Here is a 22,211-nt window from a genome sequence, read left to right on the forward strand (position 1 = left end):
TCAAATACTTTTGGAACCCATATATCATAGAGATAAACCAGAGAAACAGCAAACATCTGGCAAGGCAGCATTTTGCCTTATGTAAAGGAAGCCGGTGGGTAGCTGGTGGGAAATGAGAAATTGTCCCCCAGGATGGGGAAATAGCTCAGAGCAGCCATAACTGGAGAGGTTCTTCTCAAACTTACATCCGGCAAAGACTATAAAACCCTCCCTACTGAGTCACAGAGGTATTCCCAGGATGCATTTTGAAGGAGGCATTTGCAGAGAACATCCACAGAGTATTTTGCATTGGGAGAGAATTGAACCGCAGTTTCAGTTGCTCTGGGTTCCAGCATACACTTGTGAAATAGCAAACAGAGGAAGAAATTGAGAGGACAATAGAAATAGTATTAACATGTAGATTTTGAATCATTTCAGAAAAGTCAGCTGATCATTCTTTTCATAATGTATCATGATGATACAGAGAAAGGGCCAGGCTGACCTGCACCCACGCGACCTGTGCATGCTCACAGTTCCACCAGCCTGCATGTCTCTGCGTAATGTAATTGCCTTTCTCCCTAGATAGACTGTAAGCTCCCTTCAAGAAAACTGGGCTGCCTTCACTGTGGTATCCCAGTACTTAGCAAAGTGCCTACCAGATAATGGGCATATAATAAATAGTGCTTGATTTTAATTGGCCTGGACCTAATAGAATGCAGAAAAGAACTCACTATACATGACTTACTAGAAAAAGGATTTCAATGGAACCCACACTAGGATATTCTCTGATCACCCATGGCTAAGACTGTTCATACCAGAACCACATTGGTACTTAAAATGCTATATTTACACATTATTTCTATCTTTACTTACAATTCTGATTAAGTAATGCATGATTCAGTAAGACCCATTTCTTCACTCTTCACTGGGAGTTCAAGTTCAAGTGCAAGTTCTTTATTATCTATTTTAAGGCCTTTATTATCTATTTTAAGTCCCAAGTTCAGGGATCCCTTCAGTTCTTGTATGTAAGGATTCCTGAACCGGGTTGATTCAACTAAAATTTGGGATTTCTCTCCAGGTGCCCAGCTGTATTGGTAGAGGAGACCAACCACACCCTCCACAGCACAGCACCTGGAGAGGAACTGCTGCCATGACCATAGAGGACACCCTCTGGATACAATGCCAGACTTGATGTGGGACTGACCAACCTATGGACCCCAGGCACCACCACCCAGACCTGCTCAGCACCTGAAAGTAAGTCCTACCCTTCTGAAGGAAACTCTAGGGTGGCAGCATGAACTTCTCTGCCTCAGAGGACAATAGGGAAAGTGATGTCCTCCAGGAAGCACAGAGAAGTACTGGGATGAGAGAACAGAGACGATCTACAAGGATGAGATCAGGTATGGTCAGCATCCCTCACCTCCCAAATCCTCTTCCAAGTCATTCCTCTTGCACCCTTGTGTGAAAACCCTTCCTCCTTTGAGAGACTATCAATCTGGCTCTATCACAGTGTCAGTCAAAATTCCCTTGGATGTAAACAACAGAAACTGGCTGGCTGATGTAGCCTGAAAATGAATGTATTCAAAAAATGCTGGAGAGCCACAGAATCATGGGGATGGTGCAATGGGATGGGGTGAGAGGCATGACTGAAGAACCAGGTTCCCAGGCTATGAAACCAGGAACAATGCCCCAAACCAATCTGCAGATGTTGTCTGCTGAAAACCCACAGCCCACTTGGCACCAGACACTCCTGGAGGCTGCTGTCTATGCCAGTGCCTCTGCAGGTGGTAATTGTGCATGCAGATTTGGCAGCGGTCCCTTTCCAGAGTGGCTCCTGCACAATGGGTACAAAGTTGAGCTTCCTGCTGCAAGTTAAGGGAGGCATGTCTGATTGGCAGAGCCTATTCACATATCTGTATGCACCTGCCAGGGAGTCTGAGAATACGATCCCAATTTCATAATGAAAGGAAGTCTCCACCTCCTAAGATGGAGGATTTGCCAGACAGATTCTGTCCTACCAGTCAGTTGCTACAATCACCCGCTACCTTTCCTTGTTACTTCTGTCTCCCAGTCTCCAGGTTACTCCTTCTCCTGTTTGTTAGGCGCTCCCCCACAGACTTTTCCTGTACCTTGTTCTGCTAGCATCACCAAGGATTTCTGTATCCTCATAAATGGTCCATCAGACATCTTCACCTCACAGTTCCTTGAGCGCCTCAAATCTAGAGACTTCTACCTCTATGTTACTCTTGTCACATATGCCCAGACTTCCACCGAGGAACCTACCATTGCCAAGAACTGCTCTAATTTAGAACTCTTCACCTCTAATTTCCCATTCTCACGGCCTCCTCACCACAACACCTGCTCTTCTGGAGACAGGTTGCTAGTGCTGCTGCTCTCCTGTTGGTCTCCATGAGGCCTCTCTTTCCTTCTAACACAACGTGGAGCTGAGCATGGCTTATGAGCATGCATAACTCCTTGCTTCATCTCTGTCCCAATCCTTTCTGGAGGACGTCTTCTTTTGCATCTGTCCAACAAACCTATAATAAGGCATCCATTCCATAAATTATCTACTACCAGGCTGCTAGCCCTACTGGAGAAGGTTTATCAACCTGCTGGTTGGCATCACTAAAGGTTCTTGATCTCCTGCCTTGGCTGGACCTTGAGTGCACAGAAACAATTTCCTTCTGTTTTGTCAGCTACCATTTTAATATTTTTCCACTTTCCTCAAGCATCCCTCACCCCCTTCAGTGTTCTCACCCTTAGCAAACTGCATGACTCCTATATTATCAGGAAAATGAAAGCAATAGGGCATGAAGAATTTCAACTACACATCTATTGTTATTGCGACCCAAACTTCATTCCTTTCTTTCATTTTCAGACAAAAGGCTGTCTTCTTTTCAGTTCAAGGTCAACCTCCCTTCCCAAACTTTGTTCTCCACTGCCTTCTCCAATAGTTTACTTCATCTGCTTTGTATTTTCAGCTTTTCTATCTCCTCTTCACTCTTAATGTAGACATATCTTCAAGTCATCTTCTCCAGGTGACACGAGCCTTAAGAGCATCTTTGTACCCATCAGGAATGAGTACACAGTGAGTGATATACATTTGTTGAGTTGGATCTTTTATATTTCTACACATATTATCAACATACCTGAAATTTATATTCTAAAACTTATATCATTATCTCTATTCTAAAAATGTGTATCTTAAAACTCATCTTTGCTTAAGGACCCATTAACAGGGAAAGGCTTTTAACAAATTTATTAATTAGGGTCAATCTATTGTTATTTATTTAGCTTATTAGCTTAGTTGAAGTCTATCATTATTACTTTTAAGTAAAAGAGAATGAGCTTGAATTTCATATGTATATATCAACTGCATGTTAAATAATAATTGTTACTATTAAATTCTACCCATGGCTTTTATTCCTAGAACAGTCCCATGCGAACTAAGCTTTTTTTCATAAAGTTGTCATGATGTAAAAATTGCTAAGGGTAACTCCTGGTAAGAATCCCTTTCCACATGCATCATCAATGCACATGATGGTGGGTGTGTTAAGGAGAAGGAGAGAATGAAAGGCAGAGCTTACAGTGTCTACTTGGACAGTACAAAAGTTTGTCAGAATTTCTTTTTTTAAAAAAGCTACTTCAAAGAGGTGAGTTTTGAATTGCAATTCAAAATGAGGGTGGCCAGGCACAGTGGCTCAAGCCTGTAATCCCAGTGCTTTGGGAGGCCAAGGCAGGAGGATCACTTGAAACCAAGAGTTCAAGACTAGCCTGGGCAACATAGCAAGCCCCTGTCTCTATAAAAAATTTAAAAACTAGCCCGGCATAGTAGTGCGTGCCTGTAGTCCCAGCTACTTAGAAGGCTAAGGTGGGGGGATCAATTGAGCCAGAAGTTTGAGGCTGCAGTGAGCCATGATCACGCCACTGCACTCCAACCTAATGACAGAGTGAGACTCTGTCATTTATTTAGGCATTTATTTATTTATTATAAATAAATAAATAATCAAATAAGGGTGACACTCAGAGCCACAAGACCAAACCCCAGGTAAGAAGAGAAGGTGAGCATTAGAGTCTAAGAATAGTTAGTATATGCCATGCTCTCTAGGAAGGCCCCAGAACCCTTTACAAGATACGCTGGGGATGAAGAGAGATGAAGTTACAACAAACTATATCTGTTTCAAGGTCCTTTCTTACAGCTCTCTATATATGACCTTCAAGAAAAAGAAAGCCTGCTTTCTTTGATGCAGGGATTGTGTTGTGAAAACTCTAGTGCTATGGCTGCCGGTTTTTTCCCCTTTCATCCACAATAGTAATTTCTCCTCCAGCTGATGAGCTCAAAGTGTTGTGGTTCCAAGAAGAAATGCTACTTGCAAACAAAAAAATCAGAGGAGTGTTTTTAAATCCAAATCCTTTTATCTTCTGGTTTGCATGTGAGGAAAGCCTATTTTTTAATATATGCAATGTCACGAGTGGCTCATTATTCCCACGCTTGAATAGAAGGAGAAGGCTGAAGTTTGGGTAAGATATAAAAACAGATTATCTTTCATCAGCACCCAATAGTGGGAGACCATTTTTAAGTAGGTAATAAACAGACTTCTTTGCTAAGGATGTGCTCTTGACAAGAAGTGTTTCTTAAACTGAAGGTCGAAGTCATTGCCGTGGGCCTCCAGTTGGGATGCAAATCTGCAGGTCTTCCACAGGTTTCTGAAATCTTACGTCTGGATTTCTGGGGTTATCTTCCATGTCTCCAAATGCTAACACATATGCGGGAAATGCAGGCTTGTAATGGTGGATGTCCCTACAATGGACTTTTTTTTGTGCTCTTGAGATTTCTGATCATGTTTTTATGTGATTCTTCAGTCCTTGCACCTACATTCCATACTTTGGAAAGCTGAATGACTGTTCTTGGTCTCAGCTGGTTCTTCTCAATTTCAGTAATGATCTCAGGACATTCATTTACATAAAAAAATCTGATTAACAGTGTGATGCTCATAGGCAGACACAATTTTCCTACCTTTTAATAAATTCATTAGCGGATAAAAGTGGGACTCAAAGAATAGTACAGAGAGATGTTTACCCTCAGTGGAACAAGTATGCTCTTCTTCATAACTGACTGTAAATAAAACTAATATCTTATTAAGAGGTTCACTTGGCTTAAAATATACCTCCTAGGCTGGGCCTGGTGGCTTCTGCCTGAAATCAGCACTTTGGGACACTGAGATAGGAAAATCACTTGAGGGAAGAAGTTTGAGACCAGCCTGGGCCACATAGCAAGACCCCATCTCTACAAAAAAAATATAGAATAAAAGTTCAAAAAATAGACCTCATTGCTTAGGAATTGAATGCATTGAATTCTAGCAGAGCTCTGATTGGACACATTCCCATGTTCTGACCCAACCAATCAACGGTAGGATGTACTTTCCCTGTAATGGCTGAGACCTAGCAGTTCAGGATGGAAAGAAGTTGGGATGGACAAGTGGAAAACATTAAGAGAGTCTAGAAGCAAGTTATGGGCAGTGGCAGGGGGCTGGGGCTTCAGTGCCTAAGAGAACAGGTAGGGAGAAGAGGTAAGGAGACAGGTAGGAAAAAACCTCCACATGTTTCAGAAAATATGATGAATACTATTGCTGGATAAACAAAAGCTTAGTCATATTGAAGAAAAGGGGAAAAAATAAACACCTGGTTTTAGGAACTACAGAAGAAGGTCAAGGGCATAGTGGGCAGCACATCCTCCACCACCGCACCCAGCACAGAAGACACACACTTGTCCAATCAGTGATCAAGCTGAGGGCACCTCCCACATCACATACCTTTAATCTGCCCATTTCTAACCCACCCTATGGCCACAGCCCCAGTTCAAGCCACCCACACCCTTCACCTATATTACTAGAACACAGCCTCCTGATTCTCCCTCTAATTCGAGCCCCCCTCCAATCTATTCTCCTCGAGGCAGCCTGAGTGAGCTTTGAAAAGAGCAAACCTTACCAGTCAGTGTCCTGCTTCAGACCTTTCAATACCTCCCCATTGCCCTGAGCTACAAATGCAGCTCCTTGACCATACCTCTGGGTCCTGGGAACCCCTCTCTGCTCTCCCTTGGTATCTTCTTAAGTCAGAGGAAACTCTCACAAGCTAGCAAGCTTTGTGCTTTCATTTTTGCTCATAGGACTTTGCACACAGATATCATGACTTGGAGTGGACCGTCTTTTCCACTCACGACATTGGCATGAGGAAAGCTGGTGGAGACCAGCTTTCAACATAGCCTTCCTTTCCCCCCAGGGAGCCTTATCCGATTTCTCCGTTCTGCAGTGGATTCTCCGGTTGTGTCACCTTAGATCATCCTACAAACTCCCAGCCTTAGGACTATCATATCCTATTGTCATCCTCTGTTAACAGTTTCTTCCATCCAGCCTTATGGCCTTGCCACTCAAAGTGTGGTCCAGGGGCCAGCAGCACTGCCATCACCTGTTAGGACTGCAGCACCTCAGGCTCCAGCCCAGAGCTACTGAATCAGAATCTGCTTTTACCAGAATCCCTGGGTGATTCACACACACATTAAAGTCTGAAGAGCACAGTCCTCACTATAAACTCTATGAAGATAAGAGCTTTTCTTTCTTGTTCACTGTGGTCTTCCCAGGGCTAGATGATGGCCACACAGTATGTCTTTCTTTCTTGAAGAGATCAAGAACATGGGTCCCATGGAGAGGCATGAAGCTCAATTTCCCATGCATATGTTTCTCCTTTCATAAATATTCATGACTCCTCCTATAGCTCATTGAATATCCGTAGTTGGCCACCTCATTCAGCATAAATCCCCATCTTAGTCTTTCCACTGTCAAAGTGCCTGTTTCTGGCTTCTGGCAGGAGGCTGTGCAACCCTGGAGGCTGCAACCTTTTATGAAAAATAAGCTCTCCATTCCAAATTTATAAACCTCATCATTCTTCAGTTGACAACACTGAGGCTGCTACCTCCCCTGTGGCTGGGAGCAAGATGAGCCCCAGATGTGTTTCCAAGTGAGTCTGATTGGGACAGGAGCCGACGTGGGACTTGGAGGCTGGAGATGGGAGCAGGCATGCAGTGGACTCACTGGCATGGGGCAGGCAGTGGGCTGGGTCCTGGGTTCTATCTGTTCCCTTGAGCTGAGCAACACTGGACAAATTCCTTCACCTCTCTAGGCCTTATTTATTGACCTATAAATTGGGCAGATAAAAATATCTATCTTTCCTTTCTTATTGGAATCTTAGTAAGATTAACTGATTCCACGCATGCAGAGATGCTTTGTTAAAAGTAATCAATTATATATGAGAGAGAGAAGAACCCTTATTTGATCCTGCACTTTGATCTGCTCAGAGCCATGCACCCACCCTGCAGTGAGTGGGCCGGGCTCAGTGGTCGAGCAGGTGCAGACCCTCTGTGAGAGGGCAGCCTTCCAGGTCACTGCCAAGGCCCACGCTTCCCAGGAGCACTGCACCAGGTGCAGGAGCACTCGGGGCCCCACCCTGACCTGCCTCGCTCAGTGTTGAATGTATTCCAACCATTCAATAGGGATAATGAGCAGCAAGAAATCCATCAGTCCCCTATCAGCCCTGTAATCCTGACCCTGTTTAACAAATCTGATGATACTTAGCATATCAGCATGTTTGCTTTCTTTCCAGCAAACAGTCAAACATGATTAAATCTTTCCTCATTTCCATATTAATAGGACACCCGTGTGAGAAGAATTTAGGAAAGCACATTTCTGGAAATCTCATTTTTGATTTAAAATTTTTCAATGTTGTAATGAACAGAGACACACTGGCACGCAAAATTGTCCTCTCCTGCCAGGAGCTCCCTTTCCAGCAGCTTCCAGTGGTCAACAGCTGCATCACAAAATGCTCTCTTCTCCATCAGTTTCTTAGGACTGCAACTTGAGGGCATTTCTTGCTGTACTCTCCTTACTGGGAAGAGAGGAGAGGGCTTCCTAGGGAGCTTGGGAAGTTATCTTCTCATACCTAAAGATGACAATGACATCCTTCTGTCCCCTTCCAGATCTCAATCCTTTCCTATTCTAGTTGGATGTCCCATTTCTTCTTACTTTTCTGTAGGTTTGGGGCTGGGACATTGTGTGGCTGAGGAATGGAGAGAAATGGTGAATACAGTTCCCACTGTCCCCCAAATCTATCTTGCAGGCTGACAGCCTGTCATGCTCTCTTCTTCATGAAGGTTTGGGGTTGGGGGTTACAGCCCCATCCTCTCCTGCACAGGCACTTTCCTACTGAAGAGACACTGGGGACAAGCTCAGCCTCTGGAGGCAGCATCACGGCTTCCTCAGGGACCTACGGTGTCATTTGGAACAAATAGCTCCCCAACACTGCTTCTTTACCTGTAAAAATTGGAATAATGTTAGTATCCACCTCATAAGATTGTTAGGAGGCATCTGAAATAAATGATGCATTTGGAACACTTAGTGCACAGAATACAGCAAATGCCCAATAGAAGTTGGCTATTGTTATTTTGTTTTTATTGCTCTAAATAATGCATCAGTATTCGCTGTTCCTTCCAGCATTCACAGCCGTGGAGAGAGAACTGTTCACTGCTACCATCCACACTTCTGGGCCCCTTCAGCAGCAGGGTGACAAGGAAGAGGGAAATCGACTTGGAAAAGAGGTGGGCTTCTGTCGCCCCTACTCTGCTACTGTGCTTCCATTCATTGTTGCCATAGAAAGAGCACTGCTCTGTGATGAGGAGATGTGTGGGTTAGCCCCACCTTTGCCTCTCATCACTTAGGGGAATGCTCAGTTTCTTTAAGTTCTAAAACTTGGGGATTTCTCGGAACTTTCTTCCACTTTCTTGTATTCGTGAGTTGGGTGCAGTAAAGATGATTTATCTGTAGAGGACTCACCAGAGCCCTGTGAGGCAGATTTTACAGGGGAAGAAAATGAGATCCAAACTAAGGTTAAGTGACTTACTTAGGACTGGAACACAGGTCTTCTGGGTACAGACAAATTGTTTTTCCACATGGCACCACTGACTCTCAGAAGACCAAGGAAGCCTGCTAGCTGAGAGACGCTGTGTTCCTACTGTGGCAGATTCACAGTTGACTTCTGTCCAGCAGGGCACTCCCTTTTCTCTCTAGAAGCTTTCCTGCCCAGACTCTGGAGTGCAGCCTCAGGCTAGCTTTTTAGTCACTGCATTCCCGTCTCCAGGTGTCTGACCCTGTTTCTGGAGTTACTGAGCTTCCTTCTGTTTCTGAATCCTGCCATCTGCACACCCTCAAGATACCAGCATTCTGGGTGTGCTTCAGACGACATGTGACTCTTGCTCTGTGAACCTTTCAAAATAATTTGGGGGTTTTCATACAAAACACAAAGCAACGAAAATGATCCTTTTTGTTTTGAGACGTAGGGTAAAGAGGATGAGGGGGGAAAGGGGAGGAGTGGTCCCTTCCCTTCCCTTCCCTCTGATTTCATCCCCTTTGAGTTCTAGATCAGTTGCCTTATATGCACCTGGGTTTTGGAAAAACTCTCAAATTGGTTTTCTCTCTGCTCTCACATCACCACAACACTAATCATCCATACAGAAGACTTGTGTGGCCAAATGCTGGGGGGATTTCCCACACATCAAGCAGCGGACACCAGCAGGATGTCCTCCAATTCCATTCTGACACTTTCTACCCAGAGAAAGCGTCAGATCCCACAGATTGAGGGCTCAGTCCCCAAGACCACTCCCTGCCAGACACCAGTCAGAAATCTGGACCTCCAAAACTTCTAACCAACTGGCTTCAAGTTGGGGTTCCCATGACCCCCTCTTTGTGTTTGACTAATTTGGGAAATACTTGCATTTGCTATTTATTATAAAGAATATTGCAAAGGATACAGATGAAGAGATGTGTAGGGTGAGGTATGGGGGAAAGGCACAGAGCTTTCATGCTGTCCCTGGATGCCACCCTCCAGGAAACTCCGTGTGTTCAACTATTCAGCAGTGCTCCAAACCCAGTCCTCCTGGGTTTTTATGGAAGCTTCATGACCCCAGCATTCCTTCCCCCCAGGTATAGGGCTGGATCCTCTCTGGGGAGGGTCTCAACCCACAGTCAGAAAGGCAGGGAAGATTAGAGTCCTGCCTTTGTGCAGGTGAAAGGAGGGTAGGAGGAGGTCAGAGAGATTCTGTTTCCTGAGGCCCCACACACCCAAAATTATAACACAAATCTGTAACGGGGCTGTGGGGGTTATGAGCCAGGAACTGCGGATGAAAACATATGTATATATCATAACAGCACAACCTGCCTGAGTCTGCCTGTCCTAGGGAGGCCACATGTGGTCTTACTTCCCAGTAGATTACAGAGAGCTGCTCTGTTCTGGCCTCCCGGTTTCATCCTCGCCACGGGCTTCTAGATCCCTGTGTCTTTGAATGTTTGCCTGGGAAACACCATATGTGTGAACTAAGTTTATAAAGCAGCATGTTTAAGAATAAATTTCAAGATGCTATTTTTCAGCAGCCTATGAATCACTTAAACTCATTTGCAAAATAAACCATTTGCCAGGGGAAATTCATTTTTGATGACCGTAGAGAGAATGGAAGTCGTAATTCATGGGGCTTCTCCCTCCTGGTCGTCGTGAGCTATTTTCCCAGGAGGGATAAGCACGACCAGCCACATAACTTTTAAACTCAAGTTCTTGAGAAATAAAAATATATATAACATATCCTGTCGACTCAGACTATGGTTTTCAGAGCTGCATGCCATTTTGTCAAACAACTTGGGGCTTTATTTTGGTCTTTCACCAGAAGTAGAAAGATGAATATTATAATAAAGATTTTATAGAGTTGCTATATGCCTTGATTTACCAAGGAGCCATTTATTTCACCACCTGGCAATAAAAAAAAGTATCTGAAAGATACTTCCCCAGAAGGAATGTTAAGCAAGAGATGGGTTCTCAGACGAAGTGTGGCTGGTGTGTCTCTGATGGGTGGAGGGGATGCAGGCAACGATGATCAAGATTTGCCATCCACATTGCCAGGTTTCAAATGCGTTGCTTTCATTTTATCACTTTGTGCTGCCTTTTTTGTGTCTGTGATGCTTGGCTGAATTGTGCCTCTTCAGCTTTCTCTGCTCAGTGTGTTGTTTTTAATATCTTTATCTGGAGAAGGGGAGCTGGGGCCTAGTAATGATGAAAGATACGTGCAGAAAGCAATCAGCACCACTTCATCAGGAGCAAAGCCACTATGTAGGTCATTTACGTGGATCAGAGCCCCTTGCATCAATCTCACTTTCTTCAGAGAGCGTCCAGGGCTATGCCAGGGAATCATCTAGTGAGAGGAGGCACGTCACAGGGATTTGCACTGGGAATCGCTGACCATTTCCAGATGGAGTGCAGCAGGATCAAGGAATTGCAGGAATGCTCTTGTTTACTTGTCATGATAATTGTACAAATAGTGCTGGCTTCCCTTTTCTAGCATATTTTCTTTTAGCAATTCCAGACATGGCTACGTTTCTAAAATCAATCGTGATTAGGCCTTCAGGGATCAAACCAATCACACTGACTTTACCGAGTGATCGGTATATAAACCCTGCATGGTGGTTGAATGTTGAAAGAATGCCGTGAAATGGGGCTTCTATGCTGGCACAGAAGCAAGTCCCAGGTCTGTGCTGAATAGAATTCAGTTGCTTCTGGCTTTCGTGGTGACCACGGAGTAAGAAAATCTTGGCTCGTTCTAATCTGGTTCCATACAGCCTAGTGAGTAGAAAGCAAATTGGGTTTTTGCTTAGACTTAACAACAGCACGCATGCATGCCTGCCTGGTGTGCAGTGTGAAACTATTTTTCTTAATGTAAACATTGAGACAGCAGGAGCCAAGTCCTATGTCTGATGTTCAAGGAACAGTCAGACATTATTTCATTGCTTTTTAATATTTTTTTTAACTCTCTGAGCTTTCAGCCTTCCTGCATGTCAGGCCCTAAGTACAGTGGACCTAGGTAGGAGAGGGCAGGGACGGGGGAGCTTCCCAGGCTGCAGTTTCCTGTGAGTTTGGAGGTTGGGGGTTGGAAATTGGGTTAGGCTCCAATCAGTCACTGCTCAACGTTGTTGAATGCATTATCCTTGTCTACACAACGGTGCTTCAGGACTCTGTATGTATGTGCATGTATGTGCTGTCCTATCCCTGAGCACAGGGGCTGTCCTTCATTCATCTGTTTATATCCCATGGCTAACACAGTGCTTGTCCTCAATGAGTCTGGGAGACAATACCATCTTTTAAGGAAGAAGCCCAGAGTTATAGCTCTGAATTAACTTTATGCCAAAATACACCCCCCATCCCCGAACATACACACAACAAATTAGCAACTAAAGGGATACTATAACAAGAAAAGCTTTATGAGTTGGCCAGCATGAACCCTAATAACAGTAGGTGCCTCTTAATATGATATAATATGAAGTCCACGACATATTCTTTATTTTTTTTTCTTTTTTTTTCTTTTTTTTGAGAAGGAGTCTCACTCTGCCACCGAGGCAGGAGTGCAGTGGTACCATTTCAGCTCACTGCAAACTCTGTCTCCTGGGTTCAAGCAATTCTCCTGGCACAGCCTCCCGAGTAGCTGGGATTACAGGCACCCACCGCCACACCCGGCTAGTTTTTATTTTAGTAGAGATGGGGCTTCACCGTGTTGACCAGGCTGGTCTCGAACTCCTGACCTCAGGTGATCCACCCACCTCGGCCTCCCAAAGTGCTGGGATTACAAGCGTGAGCCACGGCACCCAGCCTCTTTCTAAAAAAAGTTATATTTAATTAACATTTAGATCTAACTTCTACTTTACAGAAAGTTCAGAGACTAGAGAAACAAGTTAAAGAATACCCAAAGGAAACAATCATACAAATTTAGACTCTGGGACACTCTGTAACACAACTGGCCCAATCTCTTAAATATGAAACTTAATATAAGAGACTTAAATATTATTCTCAAAAACCAGGGAAGGTGATGGGAAAAATGGTCTTGATTGTGAAAAAGACTTAAGACATATAACAATCAAATGTAGTGTGTGTTTCTCCGTGTGAGAGCCTGGTTTGGAAAAAAAAGAAAAGCTGTAAAGGATTCTTGGGGCTAACTGGTCAAAGTGAAGCCTGAACTGTGCATTAGATGACACTAGAGAGTTACATATGAAAAAGGAATTGTTGGATCTAGGTAGTGGGTCTTCATTGTACCAGTCTTTGTATTCTTCTGCATGCTCAAAAAATTTTATCAAAAAAAATTTTATTAAAGAAAATAAAATAGCAATTTGACAAGAAGGGGAAGGACATTCTAATGCAAGGCATCACATGAGCTCTTAGGCATGGAGGTAAGAATCAGTGTGGTAGGCTCTGGGACCTACAGGGTGCTTGACATTGCTAGACTGTCAGATTCACATGAGCGAAGCTGACAGTGGAGTGGAAAAGCAGGACCCCCCATGCTGTCATGGAGCTTGGACTTGGGAACCACTGGAGGCTTCTTTTTAAATAACAGCTTTACTGAGAGACGATTTATATACCATCAAGTGCACACTTTTAAAGTGTGTGATTCACATGGACACATGGGGGGAACAACACACACTGGGCCCTGTTGGTCAGGGGTTGTGGGAGGGAGAATAGCTAATGGATGCTGGGCTTAATACCTAGGTAATGGGTTGATCTGTGCAGCAAACCACCATGGCACACGTTTACCTATGTAACAAATCTGCACATCCTGCACATGTACCCCGGAACTTAAAATACAAGTCAAAAAAAAAAAGATAAAGCGTGTGATTCAGTGGTTTGGGGTATATTCCAAGAGCTGTGCATCCATCACCACTATCTAATTCTAGACCATTTAGATCACACCAATTTGAAACCCTATACCCATCAGCAGTCACTCCCCACTCCCCTCACTGCCCCAGCACCTGGCTAACACAAATTTGCTTTTCTGTCTCTATTTATTTGCCTATTCTGGACATTTCATATAGACAGAATCCTAGAATATATGACATTTTCTGTCTGGCTTCTTTCACTTAGCATGCTTTCAATGATTATTCATGTTGTAACATATGTCAAAACTACTCTCTTTTTTATGTTCAAATAATATTTTATTGTATGGATATACCACATTTTGTTTCTCAGTTGATGGACATATGTGTTAGTTCCATTTTTGGCCATTATGATTACTGCTGCTATAAACATTCATGTACAAGTTTTTGTGTGGACATTTGATTTGAATTCTCCTGATGATATACCTAGCAGTTTAACATTTTAAGAGCTGTCAAATTGTTTCTCAAGACCATTGAACCATTTACATTCCCACCAGCAATGTATGGGGGTTCAAATCTCTCCACTACTCACCAAGACTTAAAATTGTCTTTTAAATCATAACCATGCTAATGGGGATTGATATCTCATTGTGGTTTTGATTTGCATTTTTCTAGTGAATAATGAGGTTGAGCATATTTCATGTGTTTTTTGGCCATTTGTATACATTATTTGAAGAAATATCTATTCAAATCCTTTGCCCATTTTCAAATTATTTTACCTCTCATTTTATTGTTCAGTTATAAGGGTTTTTTAGATAGTCTAGACACACGACCCTTACTGGGTATATGATTTGCAAACATTATTTTCTCCCACTGTGTGTATTGTCCTTTCACATTTTTATGTGGTCCTTTGAAGGACAAAATTTTTGAATTTCATGAAATTCAATTTATCTTTTTTTTTCCTTTTGTCACTCATACTTTTCATGTTATATCTAATAAGTCATTGTCTAATCTGAGGTCACAAAGATTTACTCTCATGGTTTTCCCCTCATCCCCAAAAAGTTTTATACTTTTAGCTCTTACATTTATGTCCCATCCATTTTGAGTTAACTTTTCTACATGGTGTGAAGTAGGGGCTCAACTTTATTCATTAGCCTGTGGATATCCTATTTTCCTAGCATCACTTGTTGAGAAGACTATTCTTTTTCCCATTGAATGGCCTTGGCACCCTTGTTGAAAATCAATTGACCATAAATGTACAGGTTTATTTCTGGGCTGTCAATTCTATCCCATTGATATATCTGTGTAAGCCAGTGCAATACGGCTTACTGTAGTAGTGAGTTTTGAAACTCGGAAATGGGAGTTCTATAACTTTGTTCTTTATTTTCAAGGCTATGTTGGTTATTCTGAGCCCCTTGTATTTCTAAGCAGTAGGTTAAAAAAGAAAGAAAGAAAGAAAAGGTCCAGAAAGAAGAAAAGCCAGCTGGGAGCTTCATAAAAATGCATTGTATCTGCAGATCAATTTAGGGAATATTACCATTTAACAATATTAAGTTTTGTAATCCATGAACATGAGTTGTCTTTCCATTTATTTATATCTTCTTCCTTTCAATTATATTTTATAGTTTTCAGAGTATAGGTTTTGTAGTTCTTTCTTTTAAATTTATTCCTAAGTATTTATTATATTTGTTGATACTGTGAATTGAATTGTTTTCTTGTTTTTATTTTTGGATTGTTCATTTTTAGTGTGTAGAAATATAGTTGATTTTTGTATATTGAGCATGTAAACTTACTGAACTTGCTTATTATTTCTAATAGTACTCTAATGGATTTCTTAAAATTATCTTTATGCAAGATTATATCATCTCTGAATAGAGATGGTTTTATTGCTTCATTTCCTATCTATATACCTTTTCTTTTTCCTGGCTGATTGCCCTGGCTAGAACCTCCAGTACAATGTTAATAGAGGTGGCAAGAGTAAATGTCCTCATCATGTTTCTGATCTTAGGGAGAAAGCATCATTTCTTCATCTGATGTTAGCTATCGGTTTTTTACAGTCTTTATCATATTGAGGAGTTCCCTTTCTTTGCTAGTTTGCTGAATGTTTGTTTGTTTTTATCCTGAAGGGGGTGTTGGATTTTGTCAAATGCTTTTTCTCCATCTGTTGAGATGATCATGTGCTTTTCCCCCTTTATTCTACTAATGAATCTATTACATTGATTGATTTTTGTTGAACCACTCTTATGTTTTTGTGATAAATCCCACTTTGCCATGATATATAATCCTTTTAATACGCTGCTGTATTCGGTTTGGTAATATTTTGAAGATTTTTATGTTACATTCATCAGGAGTATCGGTATATAGTTTTCTTATAATGTCTTAATCTGCCCTTGATATTACGGTAATAGTGATCTCAAAGAATGAGTTGGGGAAGTGGTAGCTCGTCTTTTATTTTATAAAAGAGTTTGTAAAGGATTGGTGGTAATTTTGTCTTAATGTTTTACCCATGGTAAAATTCATCAGTGAAGCCACCTGGGGCTTGGCTTTTTTTATGGGAAGTTTTATGAATGCTAATTCAATTTTTTTACTTGTCATAGGTCTATTCAGTTTTTATATCTCTTTGTGAGTCAGTTTCAGTAACTTGCATCTAAGAAATTGCCCATTTTATGTAGGATATCTAATTTGCTGGCATACAATTGTTCATAGTATTCTCTTATAATCCAGTAGTGATATTTCCTCTCTCATTTCTGATTTTACTAATTGGAGGTTTTGTTTTTTATTTCTTGGCCACTCTGGCTAAACATTTGTTAATTTCATTGATCTTTCAAAGACACAACATTTGATTTCATTAATTTTTTTCTACTGCTTTTCTATTCTCTATTTCAATTATTTCTGCTCTAGTCTTTATCATTTCCTTCCTTCTGCATATTTTGGTTTAATTTGCTTTACTTTCTATAGTTTCTTAAGGTACAAAGTTAGATTATTGATTTGAGATCATTTTTCTTTTTAATACTGGCTCATATAAATTCTGAGCTATAGCTAAGCATGGGAGGGAGGGCTATCAGCAGACATGTCAGACATGCAGCCCTGCCTTATGCCCAGTTCCATAGTTGTTCACTCACAAGGATTCCTGTGGCAATCCATGACAAAATTTTTATGCTAGAATGAACCTCAGTGATTTTCTAATCTCCTTCCACTCCACTTTCCAGGAACCTGAGGCCCAGAGAGATTAAGTGACCTTCCACAAGGTCACACAATCAAGGGCAGTAGTAGTAGTATCTGTGTACATCAGTCTAAGTTTTGCCAACTTTCCTTAAATGGGAATAGCCAGATCATGTCTACTGTATCTTAGTAATATAACTTCTTAATTACAAGGAAACCTTACAATGTTAGCTATAGAGAACAGCTGCCTTAAAGTAATTTCATAAGAATTTTCTGTCAGTAGTCTAAAGAGGGACACACCCAGGGTTCTACTTGAGCCACAAATGGGCTGTTCTCCCCTAAAGACCTTCAGTCGGAATCTCATAGATATGAAAATCGATATTCCTAGATATGGGCTACCACGTGGATGATTAGGGTGTTTTGTGTGAGGCAGGAAAGCTTGCTTGTAGAGCGATCTGACTTGAAAAGGGTACTTATGTATTCCCTGATGGGAATCAGAATTGGTCCTGGTGAAAAAGAAAAAGAATCTCTGGCAATAACAAAGGCTGGAGAAGATATAGAGAAAAGGGAACTCTTGTACACTGTTGGTAGGAATGTAAATTAGTACAACCACTATGGAGAACAGTTTGGAGGTTCATCAGAAAACTAAAAATAAAGCCACCATATAATCCAGTAATATCCCTGATAGGCATACACCCAAAAGAAAGGAAATCAGGATATTGAAGTAATACCTCCACACCTGCATTTATTGCAGCACTCTTCCTAATAGCCAACATTTGAAAGCAACCTAAGTGCTCATCAACAGAATAATAGATAAAGAAAATATGGTACATACACATAATGGAGTACTAGTCAGCCGTAAAAAGAATGAGATCCTGTCATTTACAGCAACATGGATGGAACTGGAGGTCATTATTGTTAAATGAAACAAGCCAGATACAGAAAGAAAAACATCACATATTCTCACTTATTTGTGGAATCTAAAAATCAAAATACTGAACTCATGGAGATAGAGAGTAGAAGGACGATTACTGAGGGCTGGGAGGGATAGTGGCAGAGTGAAAGGAAGTGGGGATGGTTAATGGGTACAAAGAATAATTAGAATGAATGAATAAGACCTAGTAATTGATAGTACAACGGGGTGACTATATATGTAGATATATATACATATATGACTATATATATGACTATATATACATATATGACTATATATATTACTACATATATGACTATATATATGACTATATATGACTATATATATGACTATATATATAGAGAGAGAATCAATACTAATTTAATTGTACATTTAAAAATAACTAAAAGGGTACAATTGGATTGTTTAAACACAAAGGATAAATGCTTGAGGGGATGGGTACCCTATTTACCATGATGTGATTATTATGCATCCTTTTATCAAAACATTTCATGTACCTCATAAATATACACACCTCCTTTAATTTTTATGTAGCCACAAAAATTAAAAATAAATTTCTTAAAAAACAAGAATTGGTCCTGGAGTTTCAGACAGGGCTGAGCCCCAAGAAGGGTTAAGTTGGCACAGCCTTCTTGGTTAAGGGCTTTGGAAGCAGGGGCATGCAGGTCACACAGTGATGCCAGGTGTCAGGGCAGCAATAAAATAAGAAGGCTAATAAAGTTCTTTGTTCTGAGATAATGCAAGGAGGCAGAATGGAGAGGCCAAGAGAGAAGCCTAGAAGCAAGGGCCAGGAAGAGTGGGGAGAAGATAGATACTAGTGAGGGGTGGGAAGAGGGGTGGGAGGCTCTGGGGGCCAAACTGGGAGGGCCAAACATGCTGTGGAAAATGACCTTTCCCTCCAGGGGCGAAAAGGAGGCTTAAGGACATAATTTGGCCTTGGTGGAAGAGGAGAGGGTCAGCCAGAAGCAGGTCCAGAGTCAGGGTAAGAACTGTGTTCATTCTCCCTGGAAGCTCAATGCCTGCCCCAGCATGAGAGCTGGTCATTCTCCTCCACGTGCTCCCCCCACATCAGGAGCCCTGCTCCTCAGCAGCCTTCCACTCTGAGCTCTGGAAGAACCTCAATCACAGAGTCCCCTTCCCCTTGTGCTCACCACTCAGAATTAGCAACTGCTTTCCCCACATGGCAATATGCACCCCAGAGAAATAGATCTGAATCTTACCTTCCTCTTCCCTAGCCCAGAGGAAGGACTTTGGGATCAAAGAAGGGCAAGGGAAGACACATAACAGGAGCTGGAGAGGCTGGTGCTAGGGACCTGGGTCGATCTATGTCTCCCAAGGACCTGCCCCACATGTGTTCATCCCCAGGAATGTGCTTCTTTCTCTCAGGCAGCTTTGTTGGCAGGGTTGTGGCTCATGTGTCAATGTCTCAGGTCCTGTTTGGTGGCGGTGAGGATGCAGACAGGAAAACATGTAATGGATTTTGAGCAGAAGGTCTGGATTTCTGGGTCACAGTAGAGAAGCCCCCAAAGTGGAGACCCTGAATTGCTCTTCAATCAAAATTTTGTGTGGATTCAGCCTCCACCTCAAAGTTTTGCCCCCAGGTGACACTGATAAAAAACGAATTCTCCTATAAGAGGTGGAAACACACTTCGGCGGTTCAGTTGAAGCTTAGCTTGCTTTTGCATCATATGGGAGGATGACTTCTCCAACGACACCTGCTTCATTGTGCCCATAGAGAGTCCATTGATAGTAGCACCGCTTATAGAGAAATATCCTTCTTCGATTTTTCTTTTACCTACATTGGAAGAGTAGTTATGAACACACTGGAGTAACTGCCAAGATATTAGCAGGAATTCATTTACCATATTATCTGTAAGTGTCCAACCATGAGTACTTTGGGGCAGTAAGGAAATGCCACCTTCCATTATAATTGAAGCAAGAACAGAGGTGGTGTTGGGTTGGGCAAGAGGATGACCATTTGTGCCCTGAGAGAAGGCAGAGCATCTCTAAGTTAGGACTCTGATGACAAAAATTAAAAGTTGTCATTTTACTGAGTGTTCCCCAACCCAAGAGAATATTTAAATCCATGATATTTCTGCCTCAAGATGCATTTAATTTCTGGCTAATTGAGTTAGATTACAAATCACATCTGTTTACCATAAACAGAAACCCAGTTAGACTTCACTATTCCCATCTGAGTCACTCAGCTAATTAAATTCCTGATTTATCATTATCTATCTATCTATCTATCTATCTATCTATCTATCTATCTATGTATATCATCTCTATCTCTCTATTTCTCTCTTCCTCAAGTCACATTGCCTGTGGTAAGTCCACCTCATGACTTCTCAAGACGAAAACCAGCCCTATGGATGTACAGGCCCCATGACATCAGACAACCTTAGATGCTCCAGTTTAGGGGATCAACACCTCAAAGGTCACAATTTACTCTCCTAATTCAATCTGCCTCCTAGTCAATACAGCAACTCACAATGAGGAACACTTTCTTGAGAAATGATAGACTCCACACCATTTTTTTGGAATGCAAGTTAATTTTTGTAATATCCTTTCCAATGTACAAAGCATCTTCATCTATCATCTCATTGATCCTTACATTAAAATAATCCAGTGAGTTAGGTAAAACCCATAGTATCATTATAACTGAAGTTCAGAGAGGTTAAAGGGACTTTGTTTAATGTCACAGAAGAAGTGTAGGAGCCAAGGAGGAGCTTTCCCTTTAGCTCTCTGAAGTTTTACTGAAAAATCAACTCATAAAAGGCAGATTAACTGGAGAAAAGGCATAGATATTTATTTAATGTGTACACACTGGAGCCTTCAGAATGAAGACCCAAAGATACAGGGGAAATTGTCCATTTACACGCTTAAGTTTGTCAAAGTATAAAGAGTCATGTCGAAATACAACTGTACAGAAAAGATATGATCTAATGCTAGTAGACTAATTGGAGAAATCCAGCAAGATCTGTCCATCTAGATTCTTCTTGGGCTCTCTGAGCTTGCATTCCTTCCTCTAAGTGTAAGGTAGGACCCCCTACAGTAAAACAAAGTAGATTAGATAATTTCCTTATGGCCAGTTTTTACACAGAAGGATGGAGGGAAAGTTAGAGTAATATGATATTGTTACATCTGATGGCTGGCTTTGGCGAAAAGGGAGTCTGGTTTCTACCACTTGCTTTGTGGAAAGGGATTCCAGTTTCTATGGCTAGCCTTAGAGAAGAATGGGACTGAGAGATAAGAGGGCAGGAGAAGGTCAGAGAAAAACTTCTGCTTCTGTGGCTGTTTCTGAGGCCTTCATTTTGGGGTATTATTTTCTGAGCCCCAGCATTCCCCAAAATGAAACTTCCTAAAGAAGTTTCAGAGTGCCAATATCAGATTTGTGAATTGTCTCATAAGTCATCAAACCAATCTCTCAGTCCTGAGAATAGGCCAATCCAATTAAACAGTTAATAGTTGTGTCTCATTTCAGGCAAGTGTGCTACAAATGGGCTTTGACCAGAGTCAAGCCTTTTTATGATCTGAGAAATTAGATGTTTAGTAAGAGTCATTTCAATGGAAATGAATGTAAAACAAAGCTGAATGGTTAGAACAAACTACAAACTCAAATTTTAAATCCAGAGAGCAGGCAGCCAGTGAAGATTTTTATATGTTGGGCTCAGCATCTTCAGATGAAGTGAGAGCAGATAGTGGCCCTCTGACACATTTTCCCTGGTTTGTAGTTTCACCAGGTGTTCCAGTGAACTTTCTGAGTAGACTATATGTCAACAGGCACAATCATATGTTAAGTTGTTCATATATTAAACTATTCATATATTAAGTGCTGTAATGATTTTTCAAAATTTCTATCAAGTTGTCTAGCCTCATCTTGCAGGGCTTTAGGGAAAAGCAGTTTTAATTTCAGAGATTTCAAATAAAAAAAAAATGGGCAAATAATTGGAAACATTAGTTTGGAGACATGTAGCCAGGAAATAACTTAGGATTCAGTTGAAGTTGTAGGCTCAAAAAAAAAAAAAAAGCGGACAAGACTAGACTCTAATAACAGGTGTACTATAGTTTTCTTTTAAGACATAATTTTTCTCTTTCCAGTCCCCAATTCCTACCAAAGACAAATCATAGTAGGATCAATTTATTTGAAAAATGAGTTTTCCTCTTACTACATTGGGCCTGATTATTTGCATAAGGTGTCACAAGAATAGTGATTGGTCATATAGACTTTCATAAAGTTGTCTTTGCTGGAACTGTTTTTAATGGAATTTTCAGATTAGCCTTTTTAAAGCCTCTGTAAGCCAAGGATTTGTCATTAAACTGTGCCTGTAATTCTTGTTCACATTGGGGACATTTCTCTTTTCTCAAATTACCAAAATAACTTGAGGTTTCTGTCCCAGTTAGAAAGT

At 41.4% G+C, this 22,211-nt stretch overlaps 1 long non-coding RNA gene across 11 annotated transcripts in view; it reads left to right on the plus strand.

Moving 5' to 3' along the window:
* Positions 1-22,211, plus strand: part of MIR3976HG (MIR3976 host gene) — a 165,609-nt gene that overhangs the window by 12,442 nt on the left and 130,956 nt on the right. For all 11 annotated transcript variants that reach the window (NR_172496.1, NR_172498.1, NR_172503.1 and 8 more), the window contains 2 exons: positions 1,058-1,233; positions 8,523-8,626. This is a non-coding gene — a long non-coding RNA (MIR3976 host gene). The remainder of the gene's footprint in view (positions 1-1,057; positions 1,234-8,522; positions 8,627-22,211) is intronic.

Source organism: Homo sapiens, chromosome 18, assembly GCF_000001405.40.
Source record: "Homo sapiens chromosome 18, GRCh38.p14 Primary Assembly".
Lineage (NCBI taxonomy): Eukaryota > Metazoa > Chordata > Mammalia > Primates > Hominidae > Homo > Homo sapiens.